At 50.7% G+C, this 19,928-nt stretch overlaps 1 protein-coding gene across 2 annotated transcripts, besides 1 other annotated feature; it reads right to left on the bottom strand.

The window, feature by feature from the left end:
• Positions 1-2,645: 2,645 nt before the first annotated feature.
• On the bottom strand, positions 2,646-4,351 carry C11orf86 (chromosome 11 open reading frame 86). 2 transcript variants are annotated; one of them, NM_001353554.2, is made up of 2 exons: positions 4,017-4,351; positions 2,646-3,478 (listed from the first exon to the last, which is right to left on the bottom strand). In NM_001353554.2, exons 1-2 carry the CDS (start codon positions 4,290-4,292, stop codon positions 3,404-3,406), a joined length of 351 nt encoding a protein of 116 aa, NP_001340483.1. In that variant the 5' UTR covers positions 4,293-4,351; the 3' UTR covers positions 2,646-3,403. The 2 variants fall into 2 exon arrangements, with proteins under 2 accessions (NP_001340483.1, NP_001129957.1); NM_001136485.3 differs by having other exon boundaries at positions 2,646-3,475.
• Positions 3,167-3,670: an enhancer, noted in NCBI's record as "H3K27ac-H3K4me1 hESC enhancer chr11:66743456-66743959 (GRCh37/hg19 assembly coordinates)". NCBI's record gives its function as "activates a minimal SCP1, AML or CMV promoter by ChIP-STARR-seq in primed H9 embryonic stem cells {active_cell/tissue: H9 hESC(primed)}" and the evidence as "EXISTENCE:reporter gene assay evidence [ECO:0000049][PMID:30033119]".

Here is a 19,928-nt window from a genome sequence, read left to right as displayed (position 1 = left end):
TTTAAGCCACCCAGTTTGTGATAATTTGTTTTGGCAGTCCTAGGAATGTAACACACCCTAAACCTAGAGGTGTAAAGCAAAAAGGGTTTCTTAGATCTCAATTCCATGGGTTGGCTGGGCTCAGTTGGGTGGTTCTTCTGCTCCATGTGGTGTCAGCTGGGGTGAGCCAGGCTGCAGTCAGCTAGGAGCTGGGCTGGGGGCTCACTTACATGACAGGCAGTTGGTTCTGGCTGTTGGCTGGGGTACCTTGGTTCTCTTCCATGTGGCCCTTGACCTCCACATGGCCTTCCTATCAGGATGGCCCAGAGTTCTTTTTTTTCAATCTTTTTTTTTTTTTTTTTTTTTGAGATGAAGTTTTGCTCTTGTAGCCAGGCTGGAGTGCAATGGCACGATCTTGGCTCACTGCCACCTCCGCCTCCCAGGTTCAAGTGATTCTCCTGCCTCAGCCTCCCGAGTAGCTGGGATTACAGGCTTGCGCCACCATGTGCGGCTAATTTTTGTATTTTTAGTAGAGATGGGGTTTCACCATGTGGGCCAGGCTAGCCTCAAACTCCTGACCTCAGGCGATCCACCTGCTGGGATTACAGGTGTGAGCCACCGTGCCTGGCAGGATGGCCCAGAGTTCTTTATACGGCATCTGGCTTCTAGAGGTAGAAACAGAGGACAGCGAAAACAGAAGCTGCAAGGCCTATTGAGGCCTAGGTGGCAAAGTCCCAGAACATTATTTCCAATGCATTCTATTGGCCAAAGCAGGTCACACGGCCCATCTAGAGTCAAGGAAAGGGAAAATATATCCCACTTTTTTTTTTTAAGAGATGGGATCTTGCTGTCTAGTCCAGACTGTAGTACAGTGGCACAATCACATCTCACTGCATCCCGGAACTCCTGGGCTCCAGAGATCCTCCTACCTTGGCCCCCCATAGACTCCACTCTAGATGAGAGGTGTGACAAGACAATGCATGGGGGAGATGTGATGGGAGAGACGGTTATGGACATCTTTGGAAGCAACCTACCTACCAGAGTGTGTGAATGTTTGGGGGAGGCCTCAGCCAAGGACCCCAGAGATGTGGTCCCTGTTGATGGGGTTGCTGACAAGGCTAGAATTCCTCTGTCTGAACAGGACCCCCCCAAACCCATGAGACTCAGGCTCAGTTCAGCCATCAACTCACTGGGTGACCTTGGGCCAGTCCCTCATTCACTGAATGATAATTCATTAAACACCTACTATGTGCCAGGCCCAGAGCTAGGCACTGGGGTCCTGGTAGTGAACAGACCAGGTTTCCGTGGAACTTTCAGTGTAATGGAAGAAAAAAGCCAGGCACTGTGGGTCATGTCTGTAATCCCAGCACTTTGTGAGGCCAAGGAGGGCGGATCACCTGAGGTCAGGAGTTTGAGACCAGCTTGGCCAACATGATGAAACCCCATTTCTACTAAAAATAGAAAAATTAGCCAGGAGTGATGGCAGGCGCCTGTAATCCCAGCTACTTGGATGAAGCAGGAGAATACAGGCTGAGGCAGGAGAATTGCTTGAACCCGGGAGGCGGACGTTGCAGTGAGCCAAGATCATGCCACTGCACTCCAATCTGGGTGACAGAGCAAGACTCCATCTCAAAAAAAAGCACATAACTAGACAAAAAAAAAAAAAAAAAAGAGAGAGAAAGAGAAAGAAAGAAAAAGAAAGAAAGAAAGGAAAATAAAAAAGCACATAACTAGACTAACTGGTCAGTGTGACAATTAGAACTGCTGGGAGTTGGGCTAGAGATTCTCTGAGGATAAAGAGGCTGGGACAAACTTGGAGGGCAGCGTCCTGGAGGATGAGAAGTCCTGCCCCATTCTGGGCGCCATTTTCCTCCTCCAGACATTGAGGAGGAACATTGAGAGGTCCTCCTCCAGACACTGAGAGGTGGGTCAGAGCTGTGAATTTCAATTCTGTTCCCTGGAGTCCTGGGGTTCCCCAGAGGCACCTCAGGTACTACTGCAGAAGAAGCTGAGAAGGGTATCTGAAGCATAAGACCGGCCGGGCTCAAGGCTTCTGGTGGGCTCCTACCATCTAGCTTCCCAGCCAGGCACCCTAGGCTTCCTGGAAGAAAATTTTCCCAGCTCCCCCCTTGTTTCTGAATGGCCCTGATGGGGCCTGGTCTCTGGGGAAACGGAAGCCTCCCCTCTGTCCACTGGACAACACCCCCCGGAACAGATCCTGGACCAGGATACTTAGCTGCTCCCTCACCTTTGTCCTTGGGCCTGCTTGAGCCTGGAGAGCCCCAGGGGCCCTGCAAAAAGTGCCAGTGTCTCTCGAAGAGCTCAGGCTTTTTGGGGTCAGACCCTCTCCTTCTGTGTGGCCCTTGCCTCTCTAAGCCTCAGAAGGAGCCCCACCTCAGTGGGGTGGGCACAGAGGCAGGACACTGAGAGCCAGGTCCTCTGAAGCTGGCCTTGAGGTCAGCACAGGGTGGGCACAATCCCTCTGGGGAGAAAGGTCCAGAGAAGTGGCAGGAAAGGCCCAGCCTGGTGGGGGATCCAGCCCGCCCCGGGCCCTGGTGCCCCTGCCCAAGCATTCTGGGATGCTTTGGGCTTAGCCTGCCTCACAGGGGTCAGCAGGGGTGGGGGGGTGGGGGTCTGAGCCAGCGAGTTAGTCACCAGGCAAATCGTTGACTTTTTCTCAGCATCTTTATTACTGTGTTCGACTCCAGTGCTGGACACTGGATGGGGTGGGGTGGGGTCGGAGATGTCAAAACCAAGAAATCCCTTCCCCACTCTGGGCCTCAGTTTCCCCCTCTGTCACACAGGGAGGAAGACTTCCTCTGCTTCCTTCATCAGGACACCGTGAGGTTCAAAGGTTTTCAGCACAGAGTGCTCAGCCAGGAGGGCCACCCAGCTGTGGTCCTTGCCCCAGAGGGCTCACCATCTGGGAGGGAGACCTGCGCCCTGGCCCACCATCAGCAACTGACAAGAAGGGCAGTTGGGTCATGGCCCAGTGACCAGGCAACGTCCGTGAGCCTCTCGGCCATGGGTCTGGCTTCATCAAGCTCCGTCCTGGAAGTTGACAGCTGGTCGTGTGGGGCAGGAGCGTCCACAGCCCCCATTCCGGGCAGGCTTCTTCTAAACCTTCATAGAATCATAGTCCAAGGCCCCTACCCAAGCCCAGAGGGCAGACAGCTGAGCCCCCTTCTTTTTGACCCTGCTGGGATCTTCAAAGAGAGCTAGTGCTGGAGTGGAAGGGCCAGAGCTAAGAGTGGCAGCCACGTGGCGACTCCAGTGAGCTGGTGGCAGAAGCCTCCTAGGGCCACCCAGCCAAAGTCCAGAGAGCTGTGAAGAGGTAGGTCAGCAGACACGGTGGGCTGGTCCAGGCACAGCAAGGGGGCCACGATGGCTTCCAGCATCTTTAGCTGATGGTGCCCAGTGTGGGCTACGGGGAGGCCGGCTGACTCAGAGTCACGCTGGGGAAGATGGCGACAAAGCTCTCCCACCTTCTTCTTACCTGCTGGAAGACAGAGGTGGGGGAGGTCCCATGGGCTGAGTGGTGGGCTTAGATGTTGTTCCACCCATAGCCACGAGGTGGGGGTAGACCCCAGGTAGAGAAGCACTGCTCATTGGAGACCCTGTCTCTTAGAGGAGGGAGCCTGCAGCCCCCCACAAAGGGGTCCAGATCTCCCCTTTTTCTCTGGGGTGAGAGGGTCACACAGTGTACTTCCCAGGAAGTTGCACTGGCTGATCTCCTTGCCTCCTGCTCTATTCCCCCATCCAGCATACTATCAATCAGCTAAAAACAGCGCTTACCATATCACCCTCCTCCTCTAAAACCTTCAGTGGCTCCCCAGTGCCTGTGGGATAAATCCCAAATGCCTTCAGGGCCCTCTGAAACGTGGCTCTGGGGTGTCTCTCTCTGCACCCTCATCTCCAGGCAGCTCGGTTGTCATCTTGGTACACAGCCTGGGCTGGCTCTGTCTCTGAACCTTTCCTGCCCTGGAATCCCTGCCCACCTGCTGTGGTACCCTCCATCCTTCAGCCCACAGCCATACCTGTTGGTACCGCCTCAGCCACCACCGGCTGCCTCTTCGCTGGGCTTGGATCAGCTGCTCTGTGTCCCCCAGGCTCCCCGGCACCCGCTCCTGGGCAGTGGCATCTGGCCCTTCTGTGCCTCTCTCGAGGCCCTGGGACCTGGACTTCTCTTGCCCCTGTCTGAGGCTTAGCGCCCTGCGGAGTTGGCCCTCCTGGGGCCTCCCCCAGGGCTCCTGCAGCTTTCCATAGGAGGGTCGGGGCTCTCGCAAGGACTGACTTCGCAGCCCTGTTCCCATGGCTCCGGAGGCTGCAGGCACAGGACTGCTCCGGCCCCTCAGCAAGACACTGGCCCTCTGAGGTGGCCCAGTGCCTCCACCCATCTGACAAGAGATCACTGGGGGCAAAGGTTGGTGCTGCCAAGGTGGCTTTCATAAATCAAAGGGCAGGCCACAGGGCCAAGCATCCCTGAGTCACCTCACCACTGCCTCCCCACCTTCTGGGTCAAGGAGTGAAGGCCAAGGGGAGGAAATTGCCACTCCCTCCTTCACCTATCCTTCCCCCCTCCCCCTCCCCTCCCCCTCCCCTCCTCTCCCCCCTCCCTCCTCCCCCATCCTCCCCCCTCCTTCTCCCCTCCCCTCCCCCTTCCTTCCCCTCCCCTCTCCCTCCCCCCTCCTCCTTCTCCTCCTTCTCCTCTAGGCAGCTTCCCTGACTACCTCATCCCTGAAGAGTTTGTTCTCCTCTGAATCTCTATGGCCCCGGCATCCATTGACACTGAGCACCATGGCTTAACAACCAAACAGAGACAGCCTTTTAAGAATTGGGCCAGGCCCGGTGGCTCACGCCTGTAATCCTAGCACTTTGAGAGGCCGAGGCAGGCAGATTGCCTGAGATCAGGAGTTCCAGACCAGCCTTGCCAACATGGTAAAACCCCGTCTCTACTAAAAATACAAAAAATTAGCTGGGCATGGTGGCGGGCGCCTGTAATCCCAGCTACTCAGGAGGCTGAGGCAGGAGAATCACTTGAACCCAGAAGGCGGAGGTTGCAGTGAGCCGAGATTGTGCCACTGCACCCAACCTGGGTGACAGAGCAAGACTGCGTCTCAAAAAGAAATATATTTTTCAAAAAAGCATCAGTATGGCTCCAAGCTAGAACAATCACATTCACAAAGACAGCAAGGAGGATGGCCGTTGCCAGGCACTGGGGGAGGGAGGAATGAAGAATTTAATGGCTGTAAATTTTCAGATTTCATAAGATGAAGAGTTCCAGAGATTGGTTGCACAACAATGGTTGAAATGGTAAACTTTATGGTATATGTGTTATACAATACTGGAGAATTTCTTTTTTTTTTTTTTTTTTTTTAAGAAACAGAAGGAAACAGGACGGCTCCAGGCTAGGAGTCAGGAGGCCTGGATTTTTTCCAGGCCCAGCGCTGCCCCTAATGTCCCAGCAGCACAGCACTATCCTTGAGCACTCAAGCTCTGAGGACCAACTGCCTCTGGGTAAACTGTAGCTTCATTCCTTGCAGCCTTGTGACCTTGGGCACATTTTTCTCCTTCATTCGTAAGAGGGACAAATAACTTGGGTAATTGTTGTGCGTATTAAATGTGGTCCACAGGGCTTGGCACACAGCAAGCCCTCGAACAAAGTGAGTTGGTGGTTGTATTTGTCCGTTCTCCTGCTGCTATAAAGAAAGACCTGAGGCTGGGAGCAGTGGCTCATGCCTGTAATCCTAGCACTTTGGGAGGCTGAGGCGGGTAGATCACTTGAGGTCAGAAGTTCAAGACCAGCCTGGCCAATATGGTGAAACCCCTTCTCTACTAAAAATACAAAAATTAGGCCAGGTTGCAGTGGCTCACAACTGTAATCCCAGCACTTTGGGAGGCTGAGGCAGGTGGATCACAAGGTCAGGAGTTTGAGACCAGCCTGGCCAACATGGTGAAACCCCGTCTCTACTGAAAAAATACAAAGATTAGGCAGGCATGGTGGCGTGTGCCTGTAATCCCAGCTACTCGGGAGGCTGAGGCAGGAGAATTGCTTGAACCCAGGAGGCAGAGGTTGCAGTGAGCCGAGATCGTGCCACTGCACTCCAGCCTGGGCAACAGAGCAAGACTCCGTCTCAAAACAAAACAAAACAAAACAAAAAATTATCCAGGTGTAGTGGTGGGCAACTGTAATCCCAGCTACTCGGGAGGCTGAGGCAGGAGAATCGCTTGAACCCAGGAGGCGGAGGTTGTAGTGAGCTAAGATTGCGCCACTGCACCCCAGCCTGGGCAACAGAGAGAGAATCTGTCTCAAAAAATAATAATAATAAAAATAAGAAATACCTGAGACTGGGTAATTTATAAAGACAAAAAGTTTAATTGGCTCATGGTTCTGCAGGCTGTACAGGAAGCATAGCAGCTTCTGCTGCTGGGGAGGCCTCAGGAAGCTTCCAACCGTGGTGGAAGGCAAAGCGGGGATGAGGCATCTTACATGATAGGAGCAGGAGAAAGAGAGAGCGTGGCGGGAGGTGCTGTACACTTTTTTTTGAGACAGAGTCTCAGTCTGTCGCCCAGGCTGGAGTGCAGTGGCGCGATCTTGGTTCACTGCAACCTCCGCCTCCCGGGTTCAAGTGATTCTCGTGCCTCAGCCTCCTGAGTAGCTGGGACTATAGGTGCCTGCCACCACGCCCAGTTAATTTTTTGTATTTTTGGTGGAGACAGGATCTTGCTATATTTCCCAGTCTGGCCTTGAACTCCTGGGCTCAAGTGATCTGCCCACCTCAGTCTCCCAAAGTGTTTGGAATAAAGGCGTGAGCCACTGTGCTCAGCCTACACACTTTGAAACAACCAGATCTCACAAGAACTCACTATCATGAAAACAGCACCAAGGGGATGGGGCTAAACCATTCACGAGAATCCACCCCCATGAGCCAACCACCTCTAACGCTAGGGACTACAATTCAACATGAAGTTTGGTGCGGACACAAATCCAAACCATATCAGTGGTATTCACTGCCGTGGGCAGATCCTTTCAGTCTCATCTGTAAAATGGGTTGTTTCTTTTTAAATTTTTTTTTGAGATGGAGTCTCTCTCTGGCGCCCAGACTGGAGTGCAGTGGCGCGATCTTGGCTCACTGCAACCTCTGCCTCCCGGGTTCAAGCGATTCTCCTGCCTCAGCCTCCCGAGTAGCTGGGATTACAGGCACATGCCACCATGCCTGGCTAATTTTTGTATTTTTAGTAGAGATGGGGTTTCACATTGGCCTGGCTGGTCTCAAACTCCTGGCCTCATGATCCACCTACCTCGGTCTCCCAAAGTGCCAGGATCACAAGCATGAGCCACCGCACCCAGCCTGTAAAATGGGTTGTTTCAAAAATAAGATGAAATCATGAGTGTGGATGCTTCTAAAGGTGAGACTACTGGCAGCAACTCTTTCCCCCAAGACAGGAGGAAGAGAAAGAAGCTTGGGGCTGGGCCAGCAGATTCCTCAGAATGGTTGTTTTGTTTTTTGAAACAGGGTCTCACTCTGTTGCTCAGGCTGTAGGGCAGTGGCACAATTTCAGCTCAATGCAACCTTGACCACCTGGGCTCAAGTGATCCTCCCACCTCAGCCTCCTGAGTAGCTGGGACTACGGGTATGTGCCACCACGCCTGGCTAATTTTTGTATTTTTTGTAGAGATGGAGTTTCATCATGTTACTCAGGCTGGTTTTGAACTCCTGAGCTCAAGCAATCTGCCCACCTCAGCCTCCCAAAGTGTGCCACCACGCCTGGCCTCAGAATGGTAGAATTTGAGTGCTGAAGGGACCTCATACATCTGTTCCATGCTCCTTTTTGTTTTATTTTTATTATGTATTTCTTTGTTTATTTTAGAGAGAAGGTTTCTCTATGTTTCCCAGGCTGGTCACAAACTCCTGGTCTCAAGTGATCCTCCTGTCACAGCCTCCTGACTAGCTGGGATTACAGGCATGAGCCATCACACCCAGCTCCTTTTTGTTTTAACCACTGTTTTGAGTCAACCCCTTCACAGATTTCATTTAAACCTCATGATAGTCCTATGATGTGGGGATTGTCATCTCATTTTATAGATCAGAAAACTGAGGATCAGGGAGATTAAGCACCTGGCTGGAGAGCATGCCCACTAAGTGGCAGAGCTGGTCGGCCACCCTGGTCAGCCGGGCTTTAAAAACCCATGCTTCAGTCACTCAGGTCTCCTTCCCCAGACTCGGCAGCAGAGGCAGGACTGGAAGCCAGCTGTCCTGCCTCCTCCATGTTTGGGGTACTGCAGAGGGCACCCCTATTCAGGGCCAGGGAAGTGCTGGCTGCAGCTCTTGGCTCACACTAGCCTTGTCCCCTAGGGCCTGGCCTTGCCCTCATCCTTTCTGCTCCGTTTCTGAATCTTCCCTGGGTGAAGGGTTGCTTAAAATCTGCCAGGCTCAGCTCCCAGAGGACCTATGACAGGGCCAGTGTGAAGAGAATGTAAAAAAGGAGCCCTGACCTTCTGCCCCAGCCTGTCCCAAACACTGGCTCTGATTTGTACCCAGACCTTTTAATTTCAACCCTGACAACACACCAAAGGTCAATCCTGACCCTGGTTAAAAAGCAACAAAACCATTACACAATCTTCAACGCCCTCACTTCAACACACGTAGTCAACTCAAATCCCCACTCTCACAAAGGTCTGAGCCCAGGAAGAACTGGCTGACTCACAGACTTTTGAGATGTGGTGGGATGAATCACTCACTCTTGCGTCAAGCACATAGCTGCGGAGTACCCTCTTGCCAAGGATGCAGTCTTAAAACAACTTCCCAAATCCACTGAGGAGAGGGAGAAAATCTGTGTTCTCCTCCTTCCCTCCTCACTGCTTCTCTGCCTTCTTCACCTGGTATCTTAGGCTGATTAGTGTTGCTGTAACAGAGACAGGTTAATTTCTAAACAACTGTTCATTTGATTCATGGTTCTGGAGGCTGGGAAGTCCAAAAGAATGGCATCAGCCTCCGATGTGGGCCTTCGTGCTATGTCATCCCATGGCAGAAGGTGGAAGGGTAAGAGAAAGTAAACGTGAGCAAGGACAAGAGGGGGTTGAACTCACTTTTATCAAGAACCCACTTCCTGATAATTGCAGTAATCCAGTCACCTAATCACCTCTTGATACTGTCATAATGGCAATTATAGTTCGACATGAGTTTTGGAACAGACATTCAAACTATAGCAACTGGCAAGCTCTTACTCACCTTTCAAAATTCTGCTTTGTGAGTGACACCTCCCCAAAAAGCCTGCCCTGACACCTCCAGGCTGTGTAAGATAGGCAGTCCCCTCTCCAGCCCACCCAATGACCCAATACACACAGTAACACAATCACACATGTCTGCCTTACCTCACCAGACTAGGTACCCCTTGAAGGCTAAAAGAACACCTTAATGTCCCCACGACCCAACACAGTAAATAACTGGCATTAAATATTGGAGACTGTTAGTTGTCTATTGCTATCTAACAAATTACCCCAAAACTTAGAGACTTAAAACAACACACATTTATTATCCTGGTTTCTGTGGGTCAGGAATGGGGGCGTGGCTTAGCAGGTCTCTGGCTCGGATCTCTCGGAGGCTACAGTCAACTCTTCTCCAGGTCCTTCTGGGGTGAATCTGCTTCCAAGCTCATTCTTGTGGTTGTTTGCATAATTCAATTCTTTTCGGATTGTGGGACTGAGGGCTTCTGTTTGTTGATGGTTGATTGCTGCTACTTGGGCCTCTCCAAAGACCATCTCACTATGTGGCAGCTGGCTTTAATCAGAGCAAGCGAGTGAGAGCAAGAGATGGCGAGAAAGACAAGCCAGGATCTTTGGGGACCTAACTGCAGAAGTGACATGTGGAGTCCAGAGCAGCTCCATCTTGGATGCTAATCCACCATGTTGACTTCTTATTAACCCCCATTCTGGGAATGCCTCTAAGATTTCTACTTTATCTACTGTTACCAGAAATCTTACCCATAGGCAGATTCATATCACATTCTTGCCTTTCTCTGAGGTCTCAACTTTACTTGTCTTACACATTCCTGCCCTGTGGTATATAAGCCCTGGGTCTGGGGCTTTATGGCCTGGGGATCCACCATCACGTCTTGCTGCAGCCTGAGACACAGACTTGGCTTCTGTTCCTAAATCTATATTAAATGTTTCTTTTTTACTGGGTGTGGTGGCTCACACCTGTAATCCCAGCACTTTGGGAGGCCAAGGCAGGCGGATCATTTGAGGTCAGGAGTTCGAGACCAGCCTGGCCAACATGGCGAAATCCGGTCTCTACTAAAAATACAAAAATCAGCCGGGCATGGTGGCGGGCACCTGTAACCCCAAGTACTCGGGAGACTGAGGCAGGAGAATCGCTTGAACCTGGGAGGCAGAGGTTGCGGTGAGCCTAGATGGTGCCACTGCCCTCCAGTCTGGGTGACGGAGCGAGACTCCGTCTCAAAAAGAAACAACAAAAAAAGAAATGTTTTTTCTAAGAAACCGAATTTGTCAGCCGCTTTCTTTGGCCTCAGCTTCCTTGGGTTTTGGGGATACGTGTACATAGACTTTCCCACCCAGAACATGACAACCCATCACTTGCTTTATTCTGTTCCTTAGAGGCAAGTCACCAGGTCCAGCCTACCCTCAAGGGGTGGAGATTACACAAGGGTGTGAACACCAGGAGGCTAGGATCACTGGGGACTGTCTTGGAGATGGCCTACCACAGACACCGAGGATTCCAGGCCTCCTCCATTACCTGAGTTTAAAGCCTTGCCCTTTCATGTACTGGCTCTGTGTCTTGGGTGAGTGGCTTAACCTCATGTGTCTATAATTTCTCAGCTATAACACAGGAATAATGCTTTATTTCATCAAATCTAAGAGGACATCTACGGAAAGGTGGCAGTATTTTATATACCATTAAGAAAGAATATCTGGGCTAGGCACGGTGGCTCACGTCTATAATCCCAGCACTTTGGGAAGCCAAGGCAGGAGGATTGCTTGAGCCCAGGAGTTTAAGACCAGCCTGCACAACATGACACCCTGCCTGTACAAAAAAATAGAAAAAAAAAATAGCTGGGCCTGGTGGCATGTGCCTGCAGTCCCAGCCACTTGGGAGGCTGAGGTGGGAGGATCGCTTGAGCCCAGCAGGTTGAGGCTGCAGTGAGCTGTGATTGAAGCCACTGCACTCCAGCCTGGGCAACAGAGTGAGGCCCTGTCTCAGAAAAAAAAAAGAAAAAAAAGAAAGGAAGGAAGGAAGGAAGAGAGAGTACCCATTACCCACTCATTGGAAGGTGCAGGCCCTTTTTAGAGAGGTTAAAATGTGGAGGAAAAAAAGTGTGGCTTGAAATTAACAAAACACAGTAGTATCTATTTCCTGAAGTGAAGTAGGAAAGAGGTATTTCCTGTATTTATTCATGTACATGGCTGATGTCATTTAAAGTTCTGGTGAGGCTTAGACATACTGGAAGGCTGCAAGCTGGGGCAGGCTACCATGTTCCTTAGGAGTGAGCCAGTGAATGTGATCTACATCTACCTGCTGTGGGCAAGACCTTGTTTTGGTGAACAGAAGAGAATGAGAGACCACATCTGGTTTGAGGGAGGGGAGGATCTAGGCAGGCCTCTCGGAGAAGATGATGTTGGAGCCCAGTCCCGAGAGCCCACTCGCCAGAACCTTGAGAATTAGACATTGGAAGTCTGACTGACCTTGGAGGGCAGCAGGGGTGGGGCGTGCCCTCTACCCTGGAGACTGACCTTTGTGAGTGCACTTCACCCTTGCATCCCTCTGGAACTTATCCTCATTTCCTCTTCTCTCCGTTGAAATGACAGAAGCATAGTCAGTGATGGGCCTGGAATCCAGCCCAGTTGAGTCAGCCCAGCACATAAAGTCTTCAGCAAATGTGTGTTCTACCCTCCATGGGTGGGGCCTGAGTCTTCATATACCCTCTAGGAGGATCAGACAAAATTATAAATCTAGCAGTTAGTAGTACTAGACTTTCTCCTTGAAAATATGATGCCCAGGCTGGACGCAGTGGCTCATGTCTGTAATCCCAGCACTTTGGGAGGCCGAGGCAGGCAGAGCACTTGAGGCCAGGAGTTCAAGACCAGCCTGGCCAACATGGCGAAACCCTGTCTCTAAAAAAAATACAAAAATCACCCATGCGGCTGGACGTGGTGGCTTATGCCTGTAAATCCCAGTATTTTGGGAGTGTGAGGTGGGTGGATCACCTGAGGTCAGGAGTTCAAGACCAGCCTGGCCAACATGGTGAAACCCCAACTCTACTAATAATACAAAAATCAGCGGGTATGGGGCACACACCTGTAATCCCAGCTACTCGGGAGGCTGAAGCACAGCAATTGCTTGAACCTGGGAGGTGGAGGTTGCAGTGAGCAGAGGTCGTGACACTGTACTCCAGCCTGGGCAACAGACTGAGACTCTGTCTAGAAAAAGTTTTTTAAATAAATAAAAAAATGAAAAAAATAATGCTCACCAGAAGTAAGATGAGTGACTGTGCAGATATACATTTATTTAATTTGAAATTGTTTGTGGGCCAAGTGCAGTGGCTCACACCTGTAATCCCAGCACTTTGGGAGGCCGAGGCAGGGGAGGATCACTTGAGGGCAGGAGTTTGAGACCAGCCTAGGCAACAAAGGGAGTCCCCATTTCTATAGAAATTTTAAAAATTGGCCAGGCATAGTGGCTCACGCCTGTAATCCCAGCACTTTGGGAGGTGGGCGGTGTGGGGGGCAAATCATGAGGTCAAGAGTTTGAGACCAGCCTGGCCAAGATGGTGAAACCCCGTTTCTACTAAAAATAAAAAATTAGCTGGGCATGGTGGCGGGTGCCTGTAATTCCAGCCACTTGGGAGGCTGAGGCAGAGAAGCATTTGAACCCAGGAGGCAGAGGTTGCAGTGAGCCGAGATCATGCCACTGCACTCTAGCCTGGGTGACAGAGCAAGACTCTGTTTCAAAAAAAAAAAAAAAATAGTTCTTGGGTTTATCTTCTGTCCCTTATTCCCTCCTCACACCTCTACAAGAGTTGAGTTTAGCACATAGTAAATGTTTAATAGTCAGCGAATAGGAGTGCCCCAGAGACCAAGCAGAGTCCACAGAGTCCAGTGGACGCCATGTTTATGGGGGAGGGAAAAGTTAAAGAGATGATAACCTGGAACAGGTCAAATTGGGGGCATGGACCGAGAGGAGCAAATTCTGAGGAATTTCTGAGGCTCTGACAGTGTCCCTGGGCCGGGAAGGAAGATGAGGTGGTGGGAGGATATTGAGCCATTTCTGCAGCACTATGAAAAATGAGCTACTTTCCCAGACTCGTTTTGGGGGACAGACCTCAAAGCACCCCATTTCAAAGCAGTGTGGTGCTGGGCTAGAAATAATGCCCAGGGTGTTATGGGAGTCCTAAGAGGGCCCCTTACACCATGAGAGTGGCCTTGGAGAGCTTCATGAAGGAGACAATGGCTGGGTTAAGTCTTGAGAGAGAGAGAGAGAGATATGACAGGAAGAGAGTTTATCAGGTGAATCTATTGAGAAAAGGAATCCCATGCAAGGAAAACAGCCCAAGCACAGGCAGGAAGGCACGATGGGGATAGAGGAATGATGATACCTCATACCATTGGGGTGTAGGGAGGACAGCATACCAGCAAGTTCAGACAGCATGGTGGCAAGGACAGGGCAGTTAGGAACAAGAAGGTTGGAGACATCCAGATGGATGGGAGCTCCCAGACAAAGCTACAGATCCTGGCTGGGCACAGTGGCTCACGTCTGTAATCCCAGCACTTTGGGAGGCTGAGGCGGGTGGATCACCTGAGGTCAGGGGTTCAAGACCAGCCTGGCCAACATGGTGAAGCCCTGTCCCTACTAAAAATACAAAAATTACTTGGGCGTGGTGGCACATGCCTGTAGTCCCAGCTACTTGGGAGGCTGAGGCAGGAGAATCGCTTGAACCCAGGAGGTGGAGATTGCGGGGAGCCAAGATTGCACCACTGCACTCCAGCAGCCTGGCAACAGAGCGAGACTCTGTCTCAAAAAAAAAAAAAAAAAATTAGCCGGATGTGGTGGCAGCTGCCTGTAATTCCAGCTACTCAGGAGGCTGAGGCAGGAGAATCACTTAAACCCAGGAGGCGGAGGTTGCAGTGAGCCGAGATCACACCATTGCACTGCAGCCTGGGTGACAGAGTGAAACCCTGTCTCAAACAAAACAAAACAAAACAAAAACCAACCAACAAACAAAAAAACAAAAAACAAAGCTACAGATCCCTCAAAACACAGCTGTTACTATGAGACTGGAAACAGCCCACCCCTCTGTGTTTAGAATCCAGAAGCCTGGCTTTACCCTGAGGATCTCATAAGGACAACCCAGATGTCTCCAATCCCCACTCCAGAGATGACAAAAGAAAGATTTCTCCCGCCAGCATGGACTGAGCAAGCAAGGCATTGGCCAGGAGTGTTTGTGGTGTGGAAACTGCAAGTGTGTGAGGTGGCCCTGTGCCCTTGCCTGTGGCCACTCAAGTACCATTTTTGGCTTGGAGGGAGCCTAAATTCCAATGTTTCCCTGCACTGTGTTCCCAGGCTCCTTTAACCCCATGGCTTCTCACCCCTAGAAACCGCCCTGTCTTTTCAGCCTCCTCCTACTTTGGCCGTTCAGTCTGGACAATTCCACTGGGCTCGTGGAACCCATCATGGGATCGCCACAAGGTGGTCAGACCTTCCACCGGCCGAGGTGGACCAAGGGCCAGTGTCTCCCCTGTGTTCTCAGACTGCAGAAGTCTCTGTCAATTATGAGATCTGCCCTCTTCTGTCTCTGAGCCTCTGAACATGTCCCTAAGAAGCAAAGGGATGGGTTAGCTACTCCCAACGTGCCCCCCAGAGTTACTGGGGTAACAGTAAAGCCAGTCCTTTTACCTATCCACAGCCCAGCCTCTTAGCTGCAACTTCCTGTTTTTGTTTTGTTTTGTTTTGTCTGAAGACTGGATCTTGCTCTGTTGCCCAGGCTGGAGTGCAGTGCAGTGGCACAATCTCGGTTCATTGAAACCTCCACCTCCCAGGCTCAAGCGATCTTCTCACCTAGCCTCCCCAGTAGTTGGGACTATAGGCACACCCCACCAAGCCTGGCTGACTTTTTTTTTTTCAATTTTTTTTTTTTTTTTTTTTGTGAGACAGAGTCTCACTCTGTTACCCAGGCTGGAGTGCAGTGGTGTGATCCCGGCTCACTGCAACCTCCGCCTCCCGGGTTCAATGATTTTCCTGCCTCAGTCTCCCGAGTAGCTGGGATTATAGGCATGCGCCAGCCACCACGCCCGGCTAATTTTTTGTATTTTTAGTAGAGATGGGGTTTCACCATGTTGGCCAGGCTGGTCTCAAACTCCTAACCTCAAGTGATCCACCCACCTCAGCCTCCCAAAGTGCTGGGATTACAGGCATGAGCCACCGTGCCTGGCCTTTCTTTTTCAATTTTTAATAGAGATGAGGCCTCACATTCAGGAGATTGAGACCATCATGCCTAACACGGTGAAACCCCATCTCTACTAAAAATACAAGAAAATTAGCCGGGCGTGGTGGCAGTCGCCTGTAGTCTCAGCTACTCGAGAAGCTGAGGCAGGAGAATCGCATGAACCTGGGAGGTGGAGGTTGCAGTGAGCCGAGATCGTGCCACTGCACTCCAGCCTGGGTGACAGAGCGAGACTCCATCTCAAAAAAAAAAAAAAAGAAAAGAAATGAGGCCTCACTATATTGCCCACGCTGGTCTCAAACTCCTGGGCTTAAGTGATCCACCCACCTTGGCCCCCGCAAAGTATGGAATTATAGGCATGCACCACCACACCCAGCTCCCACTCCTGTTTCAAAGCCCACTTGCCCAAGTCTCATGCCCCTAAAGCCTGTGGGAGATACCTCACCATGGCTGCATCCCTTTATCATGGTGCCAGGTCCATACCAGGGCTGACGCCCACAAGCTGGGGCAGAGGAAGAGGAAGAGCCTCCTCACCACTTTTAGCCTCCCAAAGTGCTAGGGTTATAGGCATGAGCCACTGCAGCCGGCCCAAGAATTTCCTTTTTTTTTTTTGAGATGGAGTTTCACTCTTGTCATCTAAGCTGGAGTGCAATGGTGCGATCTTGGCTCACTGTAACCTCCGCCTCCCAGGTTCAAGTAATTCTCCTGCCTCAGCCTCCCAAGTAGCTAGGATTACAGGCGTGCGCCACCACGCCCAGCTGATTTTGTATTTTTTTAGTAGAGACGAGGTTTCACCATGTTGGCCAGGCTGGTCTCAAACCCCTAACTTCAAGTGATCCACCTGCCTCAGCCCTACAAAGTGCTGGGATTACAGGTGTGAGCCACCATGCCCGGCCCAGCCCAAGAACATTTTAGAGTGTTAGCTATTAAGAAATAATAAAGCAGGCCTACACTCCTAGCCTTAGGGCAGCCCCTCAGCTGCTCTGTAAGGGCCCCCTGAACATCATTTCCCTCCCAACAGAGTCCTGCGGCCTGTGTTCTCTGCACCAGAGCTTAACCTTGGCCAGCCTTCCATAGCACATCTCAGCCCCTCTGTCTGGCTTCAGCTGCTGCTGCATCCTCCTAGGAGCTCAGCTAAGTTTCCCAAGCTCCCCAGATCTCAGGAATCAATTGAGTGCTTGCTAAAAGAAAAAAAAAAAAAAGCATTGAAAAGATTACTAGGCCCCACCCCAAACTGACTGAATCATTATCCACAGGGGTGGGTGTGGGTCCAGGAATCTGGTTTTGTTTTTATTTTTATATTTATTTATTTATTTATTATTTGAGACCGAGTTTCGCTCTTGTTGCCCAGGCTGGAGTGCAGTGGTGCGATCTCAGCTCACTGCAACCTCTGCCTCCCGGGTTCAAGTGATTCTCCTGCCTCAGCCTCCCGAGTAGCTGGGATTACAGGCATGTGCCACCACACCTGGCTAATTTTTGTATTTTTAATAGAGACGGGGTTTCACCATGTTGGCCAGGCTGGTCTCGAGCTCCTGACCTCAGGTGATCCACCTGCCTCAGCCTCTCAAAGTGCTGGGATTACAGGCGTGAGCCACTGTGCCCGGCCTTGGTTTTGTTTTTAAAGGGCCCTGGAAGAGTCTTACCATCCAGGAAGCCTAGATAGTATTTCTCTAGCCTCCCTGTGGGTCTTCATACTGACTCCATTAGAACCACTTGGAGAGCTTCTAAAACTAGCACTGCAGTGCAGGGGGTCTTGTTTCTGAAACACCAGGGCCTCCATCTAGGTCCTGCTGCTTTCTCCACAGAAAGCTAATCACTGAGACAATTATTGCCAAGGAAGAAGGCTTTAACTGAGTGCTACAGCCTAGGAGATAGAAGATCAGTCTCAAATCCATCTCCCTGAGTGACTAAAATTAAGAGTTAACACAGAGGGAAGAAATGTAACAATGTGTAAAAAAACAAGAACTAGGGGCCAGGCATGATGGCTCACGCCTGTAATCCCAGCACTTTGGGAGGCCGAGGTGGGTGGGTCACGAGGTCAGGAGTTCGAGACCAGCCTGACTAACATGGTCTACTAAAAATACAAAAATTAGCCAGGTGTAGTGGTGGGCACCTGTAATTCCAGCTACTCGGGAGGCTGAGGCAGGAGAACTGCTTGAACCTGGGAGGTAGAGGTTGCAGTGAGCTGAGATCACACCATTGCATTCCAGCCTGGGCAACACAGCAAGACTCCGTCTCAGAAAAAAAAAAAAAGAAAAAAAAACAGGAACTAGGGAGAAGTAAGGAAGCAAGCAGGGTGAAAGTGGGTTCTGGCATCTTGTTGTCTGGATGCCTTGATCTGGTGAGTTTCAGTTCTCTGATACTTTTTTTTGAGAGGCCTGAGTGTCCTTTCCTGAGGAAGGAACTCAGATAAAACAAATGTAAGTTTCAAGCTTTAAGACCAAAAGGGTCCATTTCTATGTTTATTAAAAAAAAAAGTCTATGGGACTATTGGGTCAGTTTCAGTCTCAGTCCCTAGAGATGGATTGAAGAGGCAAAGGTGACTCAGGTATTCTGCTGATGATTCTAAGACCTCTGAGTTGGTGGTTAATATGCATAAGAGCAATGGGATGGGGCTCAGGAATCTGTGTTTCCCACCTTGTCCCCAGGAGATTCTGTTGCTAGTGGCACAGAAGCCTACGCTGAGAAGTACTTTTTCTTTTTCTTTCTTTCTTTTCTTTTTTTTTTTGAGACAGAGTTTTTCACTCTTGTTGCCCAGGCTGGAATGCAATGTGCAATCTTGGCTCACTGCAATCTCCGGCTCCTGGGTTCAAGCAATTCTCCTGCCACAGCCTCCCTAGTAGCTGGGATTACAGGCATGCACCACCACGCCTGGCTAATTTTGTATTTTTAGTAGAGACAGGGTTTCGCCATGTTGGCCAAGCTGGTCTCGAACACCTAGCCTCAAGTGATCCACCCACCTCGGCCTCCCATAGTGCTGGGATTATAGGTGTGAGCCACTGCACCTGGCCAATTTTTATTTTTTGAGATGGAGGTTTGCTCTGTTGCCCAGGCTGGAGTGCAATGGCGCAATCTCAGCTCACTGCAACCAATTTTCCTGTCTCAGCCTCCCGAGTAGCTGGGATTACAGGTGCCCACCACCATACCCAGTTAATTTTTGTATTTTTAATAGAGAGGGGGTTTCACCATGTTTATCAGGCTGGTCCTGAACTCCTGACTTCAGATGATCCACCCACCTCAGCCTCCCAAAGTGCTGGGATTACAGGCGTGAGCCACCGTGCCCAGCCCATTTTTTAATTTTTTTTTTTTTTTGAGATGGAGTCTCGCTCTGTCACCCAGGCTGGAGTGCAGTGGCATGATCTCGGCTCACTGCAACCTCCGCCTCCCGGGTTCAAGCGATTCTCTTGCCTCAGCCTCCCCAGTAGCTGGGACTACAGGTGACTGCCACCACACCCGGCTAATTTTTGTACTTTTTTAGTAGAGACGAGGTTTCACCATATTGGCCAGGCTGGTCTTGAACTCCTGACCTTGTGATCTGCTGCCTCGGCCTCCCAAAGTGCTGGGATTACAAGTGTGAGCCACGGAGCCCGGCCCCATTTTTTAATTTTTAAAAGACAGAGATGAGGTCTTAGTGTGTTGCCAATGCTGGTCTCAAATTCCTGGGCTCAAGTATTCCTCCCTACTCAGCCTCCCAAAGGTGAACTGGGATCTTAATCCTTGTTCTGTTACTAAAATAGCTGTGTCGGATCCAACCCAAGGTTGGAGTTCTTCAGGACGGGTAGAAGGAATGACAGGGAAGTTGGAGTGAGAAACTACTTATACAAGAAGTCTGAGAGAAGAGTCAGATCTCTCCAGGCTCAATAAACAATTTCTAGTTAGCAAGATGTTCTCATAGTCTTTGATTCTCCTTTTTGGAAGCAGGTTATTTTTTCTCTTTGCCCTTATCACCATCTGATGTACTATGTATTAATCTGGGCCGGGCGCGGTGGCTCACGCCTATAATCCCAGCACTTTGGGAGGCCGAGGCGGGTGGATCATGAGGTCAGGAGATCGAGACCATCCTGGCTAACAAGGTGAAACCCCGTCTCTACTAAAAATACAAAAAATTAGCCGGGCGCGGTGGCGGGCGCCTGTAGTCCCAGCTACTCAGGAGGCTGAGGCAGGAGAATGGCGTGAACCCGGGAAGCGGAGCTTGCAGTGAGCCGAGATTGCGCCACTGCAGTCCGCAGTCCGGCCTGGGCGACAGAGCGAGACTCCGTCTCAAAAAAAAAAAAAAAAAAATATATATATATATATATATATTAATCTGTCTGCTCTCCTTTGAAGGCAGGATTTTGGTTTGTTTGGTCACTCCCTTATCCCCTGGTTGGCACAGACCCCAGTTTACGCAGCGGTGAATGAAAGTAAAAATCTCGGGACCCCCCCCCAGCGCCCCAATTCATGCGAAAGTGAAGATTAAGCCTTGAAGCTGAGTCACTGCAACACCCTCT

The sequence above is a fragment of the Homo sapiens genome, chromosome 11 (assembly GCF_000001405.40).
Source record: "Homo sapiens chromosome 11, GRCh38.p14 Primary Assembly".
NCBI lineage: Eukaryota > Metazoa > Chordata > Mammalia > Primates > Hominidae > Homo > Homo sapiens.
This window is presented reverse-complemented; position numbering and strand designations above follow the sequence as displayed.

What these genes read in the sequence shown, in the direction of transcription:
- C11orf86 (NM_001353554.2), bottom strand. Translation starts at nt 4,292, where the DNA reads ATGGGAACAGGGCTGCGAAGTCAGTCCTTGCGAGAGCCCCGACCCTCC. An exon ending in GGCTGAGGCGGTACCAACAG is followed by an intron (nt 3,479 to 4,016) that starts GTATGGCTGTGG and finishes TCTGTCTTCCAG; the next exon opens with CAGGTAAGAAGAAGGTGGGA.